The 16804-nt window shown below is 53.1% G+C and overlaps 1 protein-coding gene across 1 annotated transcript in view, besides 5 other annotated features; it reads left to right on the forward strand.

Moving 5' to 3' along the window:
• Positions 775–904: an enhancer, noted in NCBI's record as "active region_10881". NCBI's record gives its function as "activates an Ori minimal core promoter by ATAC-STARR-seq in GM12878 lymphoblastoid cells {active_cell/tissue: GM12878}" and the evidence as "EXISTENCE:reporter gene assay evidence [ECO:0000049][PMID:35858748]".
• Positions 8347–8416: a silencer, noted in NCBI's record as "silent region_7519". NCBI's record gives its function as "represses an Ori minimal core promoter by ATAC-STARR-seq in GM12878 lymphoblastoid cells {active_cell/tissue: GM12878}" and the evidence as "EXISTENCE:reporter gene assay evidence [ECO:0000049][PMID:35858748]".
• Positions 8437–8686: a silencer, noted in NCBI's record as "silent region_7520". NCBI's record gives its function as "represses an Ori minimal core promoter by ATAC-STARR-seq in GM12878 lymphoblastoid cells {active_cell/tissue: GM12878}" and the evidence as "EXISTENCE:reporter gene assay evidence [ECO:0000049][PMID:35858748]".
• Positions 8797–8846: a silencer, noted in NCBI's record as "silent region_7521". NCBI's record gives its function as "represses an Ori minimal core promoter by ATAC-STARR-seq in GM12878 lymphoblastoid cells {active_cell/tissue: GM12878}" and the evidence as "EXISTENCE:reporter gene assay evidence [ECO:0000049][PMID:35858748]".
• Positions 8825–16804, forward strand: part of CPNE2 (copine 2) — a 55787-nt gene continuing 47807 nt past the window's right edge. The window contains exon 1 of the mRNA NM_152727.6: positions 8825–9032. The gene's annotated coding sequence lies outside the window, so the exon portion shown is untranslated. The remainder of the gene's footprint in view (positions 9033–16804) is intronic.
• Positions 8907–9316: a silencer, noted in NCBI's record as "silent region_7522". NCBI's record gives its function as "represses an Ori minimal core promoter by ATAC-STARR-seq in GM12878 lymphoblastoid cells {active_cell/tissue: GM12878}" and the evidence as "EXISTENCE:reporter gene assay evidence [ECO:0000049][PMID:35858748]".

A 16804-nucleotide genomic window follows, 5' to 3' on the forward strand; every position in this document is an offset into this window, starting at 1 on the left:
GCATGTTAGAAACATTTTTTGTTTGACTTGCATAACATTGAAACTACTTTCTGAATTCATTGTCAGTATTCAAAATTGGGAATTTTACATAAAAATTCAGATTCTGCTTGCTTTTAAGTGCTAATCCAGCACTCCCACTGAAGAGTCACATGACTGTGCCTTTTAGATGTGCACACATGCCTCAGCTTGCTGCAGTCCCCACCACTCCCCATTGTCTTGACACCCCACCTGACCCCACTTTTTGCTGCTCTTTGACCCTGGCCTAGAGAGTTTGCATGGGTATGTTGTACCAGAGGAACATGGCTTTGGAAGTCAGACAGGCATGGAATAGAATGTGACTTAACCCTTTGCTACCTGTCTTTGAGGTATGTGGGTTAGCAGCCACCCCCACAACACACAGACACACATTAAGACTGTTGGAGAGGTCAGGAAAGCAAGACGAGCAAAGTTACCGGCAAAAAAAACAAAAAACAAAAACGAGTTATCCTAGCTCTCCTCTCTTTTTATAGCCGAATATCATATGACGTGAAGAGATGCCCAAAATGACAGATCAGCATCCTGTCTCCCTCGTGTAGTTAAAACAAGTTGATCTTAGGGGGAGCCTCCCACCCCATTGTGAAAAACCAAGTCGGGAGGGTGGTGCAGTTACAGCTGAGCACCACTGGAGGGCAGGCTAGCCCACTGGCGATTCATGAGATAACTTCCTCCACTGTGGGACCCAGAAGGAAGTTAGGAGGCGATGCTGGGGCCTGTTCCCACCCGGCCTAGTAGCTTGGGATGTCCCAGCCTACCAGTGACATCACCTGGGTGGCTTGGCCTTGACCTTTGCAGCCCTCCAGGTTGTTCCTGGCCCCCTGCCAAGCATGAGGAGAAAGTCCTCCAGCCAAGTGCCAAGCACCCATACTTCACACAGGGCCACCCTTACCGGGCCAGGGTCAGGGCACACCTAGCACCAAATGGGCCCGTCAGCCTGCTCATGGGGGAAAAAGTAGGCAGGAAGAGGATCCAAGAAGTTTACCAGGCAACCCTGGGTCCGAAATTCTGTCTCCCTTTCCTGGGACATGATGCCGAGTTGACCTTGGCCTTCAGTGTGCCCAAGATCACCTTCACACTAGAGGGGTTGCATTGCCTCCTCTCCTTGCCCAAGAATGAAGGATGAATCCCTCAAAGCCTGGAAATAGCTTGGCAGGGGAGCCAAGGCCGAGGAAGGAGCAGAGGATACCAGCAGAGGCACCTGGCCATGGGGGACAGGGGACCCCGGAGCTCAAGGACACTATTTTCATTTGCTGCTTAGCCATTTTACTTCTCTCTTCGCCTTTTCCCCCCTTCATATCTGCCCAAATTCTACACTCCAAGAAACTTTCAGCAGCTTCCCTGAAATAAACCATAGTATTGCGGCACTGCAGAGCTGGCTGGGCCTACATCAAGTTGGTGTGAAATTGCCTTGTTCATTTTATTAAGAAACTTCCTCTCTTGCCACCTGCCTGCTTGGAGGCCTTAACCGTTTTTTGATTTTTCTTTTTCTTTTTCTTTTTTTTGAGACGGAGTCTTGCTCTGTCACCCAGGCTGGAGTGCAGTGCTGCAATTTGGGCTCACTGCAACCTCTGCCTCCCGGGTTCAAGCAATTCTCCTGCGTCAGCCTCCTGAGTAGCTGGGATTACAGATGTTCGCCACCACACCTGGCTAATTTTTGTATTTTTAGTAGAGACGGAGTTTCACTATGTTGGCCAGGCTGGTCTCAAACTCCTGACCTCAAGTGATCCACGTGCCTTGGCCTCCCAAAGTGCTGGGATTACAGGCATAAGCCACCATGCCCGGCCTGTTTTTCTATCCAGCACGGATGGAGTACAGCCTCCCTGCCCCCTTCCTCCCCAAAGTAGGCTCAGTTTAAATATATACATGAAAACAAATAAAATTCAAAGAAAAGCAAGGTTATGGGGTGGCAAGCAGTAAGATCCAATGGAAGCTCCCCGTCTCTGCATGTGAGCCATCGCACTGAGAATGCGATCAGGCTGGTAAGTACCCGCGTCTATCTGCAAGATGGGGAGAATCTCCTTTTACTACTTTGTCTCTTGGCCTCAGTCTTATAATTGTACAAATTGAACGTTCATCTTTCTTTTTTAGTTTTATTTATTATTATTATTTTATTTTTCCATAAGTTATTGGGATATAGGTGGTGTTTGGTTACATGAGTAAGTTCTTTAGTGGTGATTCATGAGATTTTGGTGCACCCAGCGCCCGAGCAGTATACACTGCACCATATTTGTAATCTTTTATCCCTCGCCCCTCTCCCACTCTTCCCCCGCAAGTCCCCAAAGTCCATTGTGTCTGAATGTCCATCTTTCTGATGGAAGTCACAGACTCCCCCTTCGCCTCCTTCACATGCCTCAGGTGCTGTCAAATTGCCTCCTCTATCCTTCCCCTAAACACACATCTGTCCAGCCAGTGGTTCCCAAGCTGTAAAACTGCAGTTACATAAATTGTAAGGGTGTCAGGATCCTGTCACCATGCAGATTCTGGTTCAGCAAGTCTGGGGCAGGATACCCAGACTTCTCCAGCCCTTCCAGACAGCCCCAGACACCTGGGATTCTGCATTTCTAAGAAGCCCCCAAGTGATGGCCATGTTGCTGGGCCATACTTAGCTTAGCAAGACTGTAGATGAGTGGATCGCAACCCTGACTGCACATTAGAGTCACCTGGGAAGCTTTTAAAAATCACTATTTTTAAAAGGAGTATTTGGGCTGAGTGCAGTGGCTCACGCTTATAATCCCAGCACTTTGGGAGGCTGAGGCAGGAGGATCACCTGAGCTCAGGAGTTTGAGACCAGCCTGGGCAAAATGGCGAAACCTCGTCTCTACAAAAAAACACAAAAATTAGCCGGGCGTGGTAGCATGCACCTGTAGTCCCAGCTACTCGGGGCGGGGGGTAGGGGTGGGGTGGGGTGCTGAAGTAGGAGGATCCCTTGAGTCTAGAAGGTGGAGGCTGCGGTGAGCCAAGATCATGCCACTGCACTCCAGCCTGGAGGACAGAGCAAGACCCTGTCTTGGGGGAAAAAAAGAGTATTTAGAAAGCTCCCTGAGTGATTCTAGTGTGCAGCCGCAGTGGAGACCCACTGGTCTGGAGTATGCCGTCTCTTGGAGAGGCTGGGCAAGCCTTTGCACCTGCACCTGCACCCCTTATTTTGTCCTGAGGATCCCATGACCCTCCCTCCCCAGAGAGGGACACTAACTCCAGAGACTTTTCCTAACTTTTCCAAAGGTACAAAGCTGGTAACTGGTGGCACCAGGAATCAAACCCAGGTCACTCCTGTGACACCCACAGTTTTCTCATCTGTATAGTAAGGGGATGAGCAAAAGGAGGTTAGGCACGAGGACCTATGTTCTTCAGCTGCAAAGATGATCTTATGGCTCATTTCTGCACTCCCTTGGGGAGAGTTCTGGATCCTCAGCCACCTGCCCTGCCTGGTTATTTCTGTAGAGCATCGCCAGCTGTGATGTACTCTAGGCCCAACAATCACAGCAACAATCTCCTCTATTTTACAGATGAGGAAACCAAGACACAGAGAGAGAACATGACTTGCCTAAGGTCACACAGTGAGTATTTAGTGGGGCTCAGACTCCAACTCTGGAACAAAAGGAAAGGGTGACTTTGGAGTGGTCCTGGACTGGAGATTTAACTGGTCTGCGGGTCTGTGTGTTCCCTGGAGAGAGAGAGACCCTCAGGAAGGCAGGAGGGCTGTGCACCCTTCTTGGGCTCTGCTTCTGCCCCCAACCCTACCCTTCATGGCCAAAGCTAGGCCTGAGGACCTGTGATGCACTCTAGGCACATCCAGAGCTTCCAGGAAAGACCATTCAGTGGCTGGTTTGGTAAAGATCATCTCTCGGCCAGGCGTGGTGGCTCACGCCTGCAATCCCAGCACTTTGGGAGGCTGAGGCGGGCGGATCACGAGGTCAGGAGATCGAGACTATCTCGGCTAACACAGTGAAACCCCGTCTCTACTAAAAATACAAAAAATTAACTGGGTGTGGTGGCGGGCGCCTGTAGTCCCAGCTACTCGGGAGGCTGAGGCAGGAGAATGGCACGAACCCAGGAGGTGGAGCTTGCAGTGAGCTGAGATTGCACCACGGCACTCTGGCCTGGGCAAAAAGAGCGAGACTCCATCTCAAAAAAAAAAAAAAAAAAAAAAAAAGATCATCTCATCCCGGGGCAAGGCTCAGGAAGTTCCAGGGACTGCTGGTCTTTGTCCTGCCTCCCAATTACCCCAGTGAAGAACCCTCCCCTTGGCCCTTGGAAGCCACACCTGGAGGCTCATCCCACACACACCCCAACCTAGCTGTCCAGAAAGAGACCTTTGCCCTGGGAAGGAGAGAACAGTAGAGGAGCTTTCCCCAGGGAAGAAAGGCCAACTGGGGACCCCTTGGTTAGGAGCCTGGGGCCAGAGGCATCAGTGGTCCTCATGGGACCCTTAGTCCTCCACCTCCCACTCCCCAACACACACCCACACATACTTCAGCACAGGGTCAGAGCTGAGGGAGGTGTCTGAGGTTGTCTGGAAGGGCTGGAGAAGTCTGGGTATCCTGATCCTAGAAAGGGACCGTCCCTGCATCAGAGTGACCACAACCCTGGAACTTAAAAAATAGCAATTATATGGCCGGGTGTGGTGGCTCATGCCTGTAATCCTAGCACTTTGGGAGGCCGAGGCAGGTGGATCATGAGGTCAGGAGATCGAGACCATCCTGGCCAACACGGTGAAACCCTGTCTCTACTAAAAATACAAAAAATTAGCCGGGTGTGGTGGCGGGCACCTGTAGTCCCAGCTACTCGGGAGGCTGAGGCAGGAGAATGGCGTGAACCCGGGAGGCAGAACTTGCAGTGAGCCGAGATCGTGCCACTGCACTACAGCCTGAGCGACAGAGCGAGACTCCGTCTCAACAACAACAAAAAAATAGCAATTATACACTAGCCCTGCTGTCTACACTTGCCTGGCACGTTACGGTCTCACTGAATTCTGTCTCATTGGATTCTCACAACCATCCCATAAAGCAAATACTAAGTCTATCCTATTTTACAGAGAAGGAGAGCAAGGGCCAGAGGATTGAGTGATTTCACCTAGGCAGCCGCTGAGCGGCTGGGATTCAAACTCATGGCCATGACTCCATGCCTGAGGTTTGACAATGGAGTCAGCCACACCTGCCTCTAACCAGGAGATCCTTGAGGGGATCCCTCAAGGATCCTGATATGTTTCCATATCAACCCCCTGTGGCACATGGTATTTTCTAAAGACAGCCATCACAGTATCTTCCGTCCCACATGCTCTTCCTATTATGTGACGGTGACACCCCTCTGTGACTACAACAGAAGTGACATTATGTGACTCCCAAGGCAAGGGCCTGAAACAGATGATAACGCTTCCACTTGCCTCTCTTGAAATGCTCACTCATGGAACCCTATGCCATGCCACTAGGAAGCCCAGGCTACAAGGAATGGTCTCAGGTAGGTGTTCCAGCTGACAATTCCAGCTGAGGTTCCAGATGACAGCCAGCGTCCAGTGATAGCCATATGTTCAAGAAAGCCTTCTAGACAATTTCAGCCACCACCATGATCTGACTGCAACTGTATGGGAAACACTGTGCAACACCTGCCCTCGATGAGCCCTGAGGACCCCGGAAGTGTGAGGGATAAGTTTTGGGGTGATCTGCGATGCAACATAAATAACTGGAACACCCTCCCTCCGCCAGTCCTCACACACTCCTGGCCCAGCCAGATCCCTGAACAGCTGGCGCTCCTTCAATGTGTCTTTCATTCACGAGCACACTGACATGCATGGGCAAACCTGGGTATTCTGATCCGTTTGTCCAAACAGCCTGGACTGTGAAAATAAACACCCAGATGGCAGGTGTTGACACACATACCCTGACATGGGTCTATTTCGGGGCCTTCAGGCCTCCCACTGTGCACTGAGAGGTCTCCACCTGGGCAGGGAAAGACTTCGTTTAACATTTTGCAGTCTTGTGTTGGGTGTGGAATGAGGATAAAGCATGTAGAATCAACCTGTGATGGATCCTTGGCCTTAATCAACTTCTTCAGGGCTCTCCTGATCCCTGGCCTTTTTTTTAAAGATAGCTTTATGGGGATATAATCCATACACCATGACATTTGTCCTTTTAAAGTGTGTAAGTCAGTGGTTTTAAGAATACCTACAGTTGTGCAATCATCACTATAATCTAACTTTTTTTTTTTTTCATACAGGGTCTTGTTCTGTCACCCCGGCCGGAGTGCAGTGGTGTGATCATGGCTCACCACAGCCTCAACCTCCTAAGCAATCCTCCCACCTCAGCCTCCTAACTGGGACTACAGGCAGGTACCACACCCGGCTAATTTTTTTTTTTTTTTTGGTAGAGATGGTGGGGTCTCACTATGTTGCTCAGGCTGGTCTTGAACTCCTTGCCTCAAGTAATCTGTCTGCCTCGGCCTCCCAAAGTGCTGGGATTACAGGCAGGACCGCACTCTGCCTAGAATCTAACTTTAGAACATTTTTTATCATCTCCCAAAGAAACCCTTTGCCAATAGCAATCACTCCCCATTCTCCACTCCCCGGCCGAGGCAACCACAAATCTGCTTTGTCTGTTTGTGGATTTGTCTATTCTGGACATTTCATCTAAATGGAGCCATGTAATATTTGTCTGAGACTGGCTTCTTTCACTGGGCATAATATTTTCCAAGTTTGTCCATACTGTAGCATGTATCAGTACTTCCCACCTTTCTTTTTTTCCTTTCTTTTTTTTTTTGGAGGGGGGATGGAATCTCCCTCTGTCACCCAGGCTGGAGTACAGTGGCGCAATCTTGGCTGCAACTTCCGCCTCTTGGGCTCAAGTGATTCTCCTTCCTGCCTTCCGAATTGCTGGGATTACAGGTTCTTGCCACTACGCCTGGCTAATTGTTATATTTTTAGTAGAGACAGAGTTTTGCCATGTTGGCCAAGCTGGTCTTGAATTCCCGACCTCAAGTAATCGCCCGCCTTGGCCTCCCAAAGTGCTGGGATTACAGGTGTGAGCCACCACAACTGGCCAGTAATTCGTACCTTTCTATGGCTGTATAATATTCTATGTTGTGTGGATATACCACATTTTGTTTTTCCATTCATCAGTGGATGAACATTTGCGTGGTTTCCACTTTTTGGCTATTATGAATAATGCTGCTACGTACATTTGTGTATGTTTTGTGTGGCCATATGTTTTCATTTCTCCCGGGTAGATATCTAGGAGTGGAATTGCTGTGACCCCTGGCCTTTGTACTCTGCCTCCTTGGCTAGGGATCTAGTATCTTCCTTGACAGGCCCAACTATCTCATCCTTCAGGTTTCTTAAAGGAAGCCTCGCTGACTCCCATGGCTGAGTTGGGTCTTCTGTGCCACCCTACCTCCAATCTTTGCACATTTCATATGGTGATATGATGGCCTGGGTCCTGATCTTGGCCCCCACAGGTGAGCAACTTGAGAGAGACTATCTGCTTTGGTTCACCACTGTCCATCCCAGTGCCTGGCTCTCCTGCTGCTGGAAAGACAAGAGACAGATTCTGAGGCCAGAGCAATCAGGAAAGTCTTCCTGGAGGAAGCGGGGCTGGAGTTGGGTTGATAGGTTGGTTTGCCCCAGAGCGGGGCAGAGGGCTTTGATTGGCTTCGGTGGAAGAAAGGTGAAGAGAGCTTGGAGAAAGGAAAGATGGATGGGTGACAGGCAGGCAGAGAACAAAGCTCAGAGCCCCGGGGGCTGTTTAGTCTCGGCCCCTGTAAGGCTGCAAAGTGCCAGTGACTCAGACGTGGAGGGAGGCTCACAGGCTGCAGCGCGCGAGGCTCCCACATTAACCCTCACCTGCCTGGAATCGAAAAGCCACAATGGAAGCACTCGGCATTAACCCTCAGCTGCCCAGTCCTTGAGCCCCAGGGCCAAGGGCTGTGGACATGGCCTTGAGATCCCCGGGAAAGCCCCGCCCCCCAGAATCTGGTTACGTGAGGCTCAGCCTTCTGATGCCCGGTGGTGAACTTGCCCAGAGAGCACCTAAATACCGCGGAGTGGCCAAAGGCTTGAGCGCCCAGCGACAGACAAGTGTCCTAAGAATTGGTGCCTCTTCTAGGGAAAAGGAGGCCTGGGCTCCAAGGCCTTAAAGACTCGCCTAATTTTCCGCACGGATGAGTAGACCCAGGCCCAGTTCGGATCCGTCTTTATCTTATCGTCTGTGTCAGAGAAATATGTCATATTTCCAATCTCTGGCGGCAAGAAAATGCCGAGCTCTTTTGCTATTGAAAAAAAAAAGGGAAGAAAACACTGCGGCCCTAATCCTGCCCAATACAACCCAGAACCCAGCCTTGGGTGTTGCCCCGAGGGCGCAGCGCCGCTCCCATCGGCGCTGGGGGTCCAAGCGGCCCTGGGGCCCCGCAGGCCCGGGCTGAGGCCACCCCTCTGTTCCCGCGTCGGTGGCCCTGAGCGCACGGCGCTCGGAACTCGGAGGTGCCAGAGGCTCGGGCAAAGCAGGCCTGGGGAGGGCGCGAAGCCGCGTTGTTCCGATCCTCAGCCACCTGAGTCCCAGCCTGGAACCTTCGGACCCTCGCGTTCGGCCCGAACGTTCGGGCCCCCTCGGTGCCAGGCGCCCCGAGTGCCGCGGCGCGCCGGGCGCGGGCTGGGAGCGGCGGACTGCGGGCGGGACAGCGCCCCCGCTCCTCCCGTGGGAGAGCGCGCGCCCCTCCAGGAAGCTCCCGCCTCGCCTCCCACTTCCCTCCCCACTCCCCTCCTCGGCCGGAGGGAGGAGCCCGAGCCGCCGCCGCCGCCGCCGCCCGCCCGCCCGGCCCGGGAGGAGGACCGGACCCCGAGCGGCTGGGAGCGCACGCGAGCGGGCCGTGGCCGCGCGGGCAGCGCCCTGAGCCTGTCCCGCGCCCGCGGGCCCGGCCGAGCAGGAGCAGCTCCCGGGGATGCCCGGGCGGCTCGGAGCGCGGGCAGCGGCAGCCGTGCGGTGAGGGCGGTGGCGCCCGCGGGACCTGCGGTGAGTGGGGCCCGGGCAGGCGGGGCAGCTTGGCGTGAGTGCCCAACTTCGGCCTTGGGGCTGGGCTCTTTGATCCAGCTGCGGGTCCGAAGGAACCCGGGTTCCGCCTCGGGGGGCTGCGGCGCTCTAGCCCCCGCCGCCAGCGCGAACCCGGACTCCGGCGCTTCGGTGACTCAGCTCCGACCCGGCCACGCGGGGGCGCCCCGCCGGCTCCCGGACTGCGGGGAAGGGCGGGCGGGGTCCCTGGGGAGGGGGGCGCCCTCGGGGGTCCGAGCCCAGCTGCTTTGGGGACCCTTCCACCCGCCCCGAGGGGCTTGGAGGGCGTACGGGAGGTGGAGACCCGCCGCTGCCGCAGCTGCTGAAGGCGTGAGGTCGCCCTGGCTCTCGGCGGGCGCTGGCTCCTCTCCGCTCCCCTCTGCCCTCCTCCCACCCCTCAACACCCACCCCCTGCCCCAGGCAACTGCCGGAGGGCCGGCTCCCAGCCCCGGTACTGGGAGCGCAGAGGGGGAGTGGAGCTGGGCAGCTTCCCAGAAGTCGGAGTGTGTTTGCAAACTAGTTTTTGCGAAAAAGCTGTCTGGCACCTGTGTGTTTAAAGGGGGTGTGGGGGTGGGCATGGAGAGAGCGGGCGAACAAGGCCCTCTCTTATTCCCCGTTTCTCACAGCGATGCTCCTCTGAAAATAGAGGGGTCTTACACCCTCTTCCCTGCTCTTCCCACCCCATCCCCCAGCCTCGCTCCACGTCCCCCCGAGTTCAAGAAGCTCTCCTATGGGGAAGGGGCTGCTTCAAAGGGGGCTGTGATTTGCCCAAGGTCACAGATGCTGCTGGCTCTGGTAGCTAATAGGGTGTTCATCTTGCATCTGAATCCCCTGCCCCATATGTACTGGGGGAAGGGACAAGGGGTCTGGAAGAATGATCTTCCAGACAAAACGCCCTTTTTTTTGTCTGCCTTAGTTTTTTGCTCCCTTAGAGGTGTGTGCTGTCATCAAAGGTTGGGGGGCTTTTTCTGCCCCTTGGGCATCCACAGCTTCACGGACTGCAGGGAGCCCATGGTTTTCAGGAAACAGGCGGTGTGCGCAGATTGTAATCCCTGGCAGCTGCAGCCTGCCCTGATGGGGAGGCCTGGGAGACCTGGGTCTGAACCCCACCTATGACCAACAGGGAACTTGGCCCAGACCCTCCCCCCCTGTGGCCCTCTGGGTCACCATCTGTGAAATGGGCTGATGTTCCGGGGCCTGCCTCCTGGAGAATGGACACAGCATGAAGGCGTGGTTTTATGGCATTCCGCCTGGCATAGGTCCAGGTGAGCTCCAGGACCGCCCCAGCCAGCTGGATTGGAAGGGGTCACCCAGGCAGGTTTCTCCATGGAAAGAACCAGGGACGAAGGATGTGGACGCTTGGGTTCGTTTTGCGGCCGTCACTTCCTGTCTGCGTGCCTTGTCACCCCTTGGACTTGGGGGGTTTTCTGTCTGTAAAATGAGGCAAACTGTGACATGATCCAGCTTACAGTAGGGCGGCTGGGAGGCTGGAACTGGGGAACAGGGAGCAGACGTTCTGCAAGTAGGGAGCACTTCATGAGTGGCAAGTGTGGTGTCTCTGGTGGTGTTCCAACGGACACTCCCTCTGGAATGTCATGAGAATTAAAAACTGGGGCATAAGGGAAGAAGATGGCTGAGAATGGAGCCTCGGTTTCTATGTCTGTAAAACAGTAAGTACTGGACCCCATCTGGTCCTCCTCCCAGTCCTCAGTTTTTATATCTATACACCTTCATATTCTTTTCAGGTAATTGTGTATTTCTGCAAAGGTAGGATTAAATTAGATTGCAAGGACTCGGGTGCCAGCACTTATTGGTACGTGGTGAGTGCCTGGTTAACTGTCATTGTCATTATCCATGGGAATATTAAGAAGCCTGATGTGGGTGACTGCATCCAGGATCCTTTGTGGGGTTGTCTCAGGCCAGCTTGCTCCTCCCCCTCCCGTCAGGACTTCTGGGCTGTTCTAGGGGCAGGGGCCTGGGGTGAAAGAAGACCAGGAGAAGTGGTAGGTCTCATCCAGGTGTCCCCATTTCCCCACATCTGGCTGGCCTCACAGGGCTCTAAGGAGTGAACAGAAAACAAAAGAGCACTCTCTAGTAATTTTCTCCCTCCTGTCAGAGCAGGAGGCATCATCGCCAGGCACGGTCCCGATCTGAGAAGCCCTCAGCTCAGGGTCAGGGTGCCCCCAGCCTGATGGAGGTCTCTGTCCCTCTCCCCTCCCCTGAACCTTATTCATAGATGGCACTGGGGCTACCGAATCAGGAGCAAAACACCTTGAGGACCCAGCTCCTTCCCCCTTGCAGAATATGGCCTCAGGGAGTGGAGGTGGGATCTCCCCCAACCCTGCCAGACACGGTGGTGTGGGCTCTGTGGGAGCTGGGATGCCAGGTCACCCTGTGATCTTGGCAGGCAGCATCTAGAAAAGTCCACAATCACACATCTCCCCACCTCCCTGTCCAGAAGGGAGGACATAGGGGTCCCACAGTGCCTGAGGACAGAGCCCAGGTTAGAGGCGCCTCCTGGCTCACATCCCAATGTCTTCTGCCCTCATTGGGCCACTGGACCTCGGCTGTCACTCCCATGGCAGAGTCAAGAAGACTGCTGTTCCATACCCTGGAATATTTCTTTCTTTCTTCCTTTTTTTATTTTTTATTTATTTATTTTTTGAGACAGGATCTTGCTCTGTCACACAGGCCGGAGTGCACTGGTGTGATCTCAGCTCACTGCAACCTCCACCTCCCAGGTTCAGGCGATTCTTGTGCCTTAGCCTCCCAAGTAACTGGGATCACAGGTGCACACCTAGCTAATTTTTGTATTTCTAGTAGAGACGGGGTTTTGCTATGTTGGTTAGGCTGGCCTTGAACTCCTGGCCTCAGGTGATCCACCCACCTCGGTCTCCCAAAGTGCTGGGATTATAGGCATGAGCCACTGTGCCCGACCATGGAACATTTCTTACTTATCTGGCCACACTTGCTCTGAGGTCTGCAATGAGACTGACTAGTGAGATTGTGTCACCATCCCTCCTCACTGCTGCATCTCCTGGTTGTATTTTTCTTGGGGCATTTGCCACTCTTTAAAACCATCTTCTTTACTCATTGGTGCACCAGCTTATCTGCCTCCCTCCCCAAAGGGTGTCAGATCCACAAAAAGGCAAGAGCAAACAGTGTCTGTCTTGTTTAGGGCCATGTCCCAGCACTTAGAACAGTGCCTGGCACATTGTAGGTGCTCAGTAAATCCTTGTGTGAGGAATGACTGCACCTGCCCCTCTTTGCAGCCTCCTGTTAAATGAGTCTGTGATGTTGAGTGATGGATCCTGGGAGAATTACGAGCTTGCCCTCTTGAGTCTCTGGAGGGATCTCTGGCTTACCATACTGAGTGCTGGAAGGAGCATGGCCTTGCTGACAGCTGGATTTCAAACTTGTAGCCTACAGAACTGTGAGAGAATCTAAGCCATCCAGTGTGTGGTGCTCAACTAGCCCATGGCCAACCAGAGTTTGAAACCCAGTAGCTCAGCTCCCAGCATTCACTGCACTCTTACAATACACTTTTCTCAGGTTGGGCATGTCTCTGAAAGACTGATGGGAGAGCCGGGCGTGGTGGCTCACACCTGTAATCCCAGTACTGAGGGAGGCCAAGATAGTCAGACCACTTGAGCCCAGGAGTTCAAGACCAGCCTGGGCAACATGGCAAAAACCCGTCTTTACCAAAATAAAAAATAAACAAAATTAGCTGGGTGTTGTGGTGCATGCCTGTAGTCCCAACTACTTGGGAGACTGAGGTGGGAGGATTGCTTGAGCCCAGGAGGTCGAGGCTGCAGTGAGCCATGATTGTGCCACTGTACTCCAACCTCGGTGAAACAGTGAGACCATGTCTCAAAAAAAAAAAAAAAAAAAGACTTGGGGTCCAACCAAAGGAAAGAGGGATTGCAGGAGTTGTCTGCTGGGAGTTGGGCATATTCCCTCCTGTGTTTTAGAGAGGGGACAGCCAGGGCACATCAGGCAGGCCAGATATCCTCAGCTCCTGATAAGACACAAAAGCCTGCAGGGATACAGTAGAGTTGTAGGGAGAATGGGCTTCTGAACCACACTAGGCATGTCCACACCACAGGGCCTTTACACATGCTGGGGAACAGGTAGAGGAAACAGCGCATGCAAAGGCCCTGTGGTGGGGACATGCCTAGCTTGGTTCAGGAGCCCATTCATTCATTCATTCAAAAATATTCACTGAGTACCTGCTGGGCACCAGCTATGGCTGGGATACAGCCATGAACGAGAGAGACCAATGCCTTGCTCTCCTGGGGCTCCTGGTCTATTAACATCCCAGCTCAAATGTGGCCTCCTCCACACTGCCCTATCACAATCACTTCACCCTGCTTTATTCTCTTTATGACATTTTCCACTCTCTGAGATTTCCTGCCCTTGTCATTTGCTCACCTCTCTGTTCCCCCAACTCCATCCCGAACTCCTATGCCCAGAGCCTGAGTGTGTCTTGATCATGGTTGCCCCTCCAGCACACAGCAAAGTCCCTGGTCCAGAGGAACTGCTTAAGAAACATCTGTTGAACAACCAAATGGATGGCTGCATGGTGAGGGAAGCTCTCCTGGAAGGTGGAGACCCAAAGTCCCAAGTGAAAGAGGGATTACATCTGTGCACAACCCTCTTCAGTGTACCAGCTTTTCACTGCTGCCTTAAGAACATCATGAAGAAAGTAGTGGGGACAGCTCTAGTTAGCAGCAGCTCCATTTCCTGTATGAAGAAACTGAGGCTAGAGAGGTTAGGACACATGGCCCAGGTTGCATAGGGAATGGGTGACTTTCTCCAGCACACCTCAGTCCCTTGGGTGGGCAGGCAGTGGCAGCAGGTGACGTCCCACCCAGGGGACCTCACATCCTCCACCTCCCCAGCCCCCAGTCTTTCAGTCCTAGGCAAATCCACCTTCTCTCAGACGTACAACTTTCCCCATTCCCTCCTCCATGGGAGTCCCCTGCCCTCTGAGCCTGGCCAGATCCACTCCCAAGGTCCCCTAAGTACTCAGAGTCTCCGGAGAGCCACAGCACTCCGTGCCTATCCCCATGTGGAGCTTCCTGGGAGGCCGGAGGGGAAGGAGCTGAGGCCCAGGAGGGAGGAGTGGCAGGAGAGGACAAAACCCAGTCCCTAGACTCACAGGAAGTACAGTGGAGGCTGCCTCTCAGCCTGCTAGGTCAGCCCCTATAAGTGACACAAACCTTCCAGTGCAGGATGAGCTGAACCTGGGGCCTGGGAGGGTGGGGGTGGGGGTGTCCCAAGGGAAGCCACCTCCCCTAAGAGCCAGAGCTTAGTGATTAAGCGGGCACTACAGAGAATGACCTCCCTCTGAATGTGGTCTGGTGGAAGCTGGGGGTCCCCAGGGGGGCCTCAGGGCCAACCCCTGCTGCAGCCTCCTCGCCATGCTGTCTGCATCTGTATTTATCCCCGTAATGGCCTGGCTGCCTGTTGGAGTGTGGTGTCTTTGGAGCACAGCAGCCGGTGCCGTAGCCTCGGTGCAGAAATGATTTGTGTCAAGGTGCCGCCCCCACCTGGTCAGGAGTGCCAGCCTGCTCCCCGGGGGCTGCCTGTCGCCTGGCAGGAGCTGGTGCAGCAATGGGCATGCGGCAAGGGCCCCAGAGAATAAGGCTTGTGGCTGGACCCTGCCCACCAGAACCAGGATGCAGGATGTTGGGGCAGCCAGGCTGTGGCCAGGGTTCCTGTGTGGCTGGAAAGTGGGGCCAGATAAACTCTAAAGTCTTTTAGCTCTGAGACTCAAAGAACTCATGACTCTGAAATCCCAGAATTCCCAAATTCTGGAATTCTGTGAACCTCTAGTCCCGGGCCTCTACAATTCCAAGATGTTATGGTTCCTCTTCCTCTCACCTTTTCACTCTTCCTCATTTTCAACAAACTTGTGTCGAGCTTCCATTCTGTGCCTCTGGGTGTTGGGAGCAACGAAATGGAAACAGGGTTTGGTTCCATCTTTAAGCTCCAGTGAGGGCGACGCTTCTAAGCCAATGGTTACAGTATGCTGATATTGTAAGTGATTCCCTCTCAAGGACCAGGGAAATAGGAAGGGCTTTGTAGAGGAGTCCCTGGATTATTGGTTTTGGTGTTTTTTGTTTTTTGTTTTACCACATTGAAGTGTAACATGAAATAGAGCAGACATTCTACATGGACCAGTCAATGACTGTTCACAAACCAACATATCTGGGTCACCAGAACCCAGATCAGAAACAGACACGACCAGCACCAAAGCCCCCGGTGTCCCCTTCTTGTCAGTAACACCCGTCCACGTGTCCTACTGCTATCCTGACTTCCAGCAGCATAGATTTGTTTTGTCCATGTTTAAGGGCACCTAAGTGAAATCATATAGGATGACATACTCCTTTCTCTCTGGCCCCCTTCACACAGCACGTGTGAGACCCATCCGTGTTATTGCTACCTGTGTTCTTCCTTCAAGTTGGCTGTATGTGGTCTGCTGTGTGTTCATTCACCAGTTATGTCTCCCTTCTTCCAATCATGGGGGTTTGGGTGGGGAGTTCCAGTTGGGATTATTTGGATTAGCACTGCCATGAACATTCCTGTGTGTATCTTTGGGTGAACATACGTGAGTGTTTTCGTTGGGCACTAATGTTTCTCCTAAGTGGTTGCACCAATTTCCACTCCCTCTGGCAACCTGTGTGTGTTCCAGTTGCTCTGCATTATTGCCAACACATGGTATGGTCAGCTTTTTAAAATTTTGGCCGTCCTGGGGGTGGGGGTGGGTGCATAGTGCTTTTTTTTTTAAGACAGTTTCATTCTGTTGCCCTGGCTGGAGTGCAGTGGCGCGATCTCAGCTTGCTGCAACTTCCACACCCCACCCCCATTCAAGTGATTCTCCTGCCTTAGCCTGCTGAGTAGCTGGGATTACAGGCATCCGCCACCATGTCCGGCTAATTTTTGATTTTTTTTTTTTTTTTTTTTTGAGACGGAGTTTTGCTGTTGCCAGGCTGGAGTGCAGTGGTGCGATCTCGGCTCACTGCAACCTCTGCCTCCTGGATTCAAGCGATTCTCCTGCCTCAGCCTCCCGAATAGCTGGGACTACAGGCGCGTGCACCACGCCCAGCTAATTTTTGTATTTTTAGTAGAGATGGGGTTTCACCATGCTAGCCGGGATGGTCTTGATCTCTTGACCTTGTGATCCACCTGCCTCGGCCTCTCAAAGTGCTGGGATTGCAGGTGTGAGCCACCATGCCCTGCCTAGTTTTTGTGTTTTTAGTGGGGATGGGGTTTCACAATGTTGGCTGGGTCTCGAACTCCTGACCTCAAGTGATCCGCCCACCTCAGCCTCCAAAAGTGCTGGGATTACAGGCATGAGTCACCATGCCCGGCTGCATTTGGTTTTACTGAGCTGAGTTTGAAGAAAGAAATCACTAAGTGAAGAAGGGGGAAGGGCATTCCAGGCAGATGGAACAGCATATGCAGAATTAGGGAGGCACGAAAAATACTTGCTGAAACTGTGTGTGGCAAACAGCAGAGCTAGAGCCAAAAGTGTGAGGGAGGGGACTTTGAGAGCTTCATCAGGGAACCTGGATGTTGTCCTGAGAACAGCCGAAAGCCATGGAGAGGTTTTTCTCATTTTGAGCCAGTATCTGCAGTGCGTCAAGCATTTTGTAATTTCCATGTGTTGGATGAGAAAACTAAACTGAGACACAGAAGGACCAATGACTTGTCCAGAGTCACATTAGTGG

The sequence above is a fragment of the Homo sapiens genome, chromosome 16 (assembly GCF_000001405.40).
Source record: "Homo sapiens chromosome 16, GRCh38.p14 Primary Assembly".
Lineage (NCBI taxonomy): Eukaryota > Metazoa > Chordata > Mammalia > Primates > Hominidae > Homo > Homo sapiens.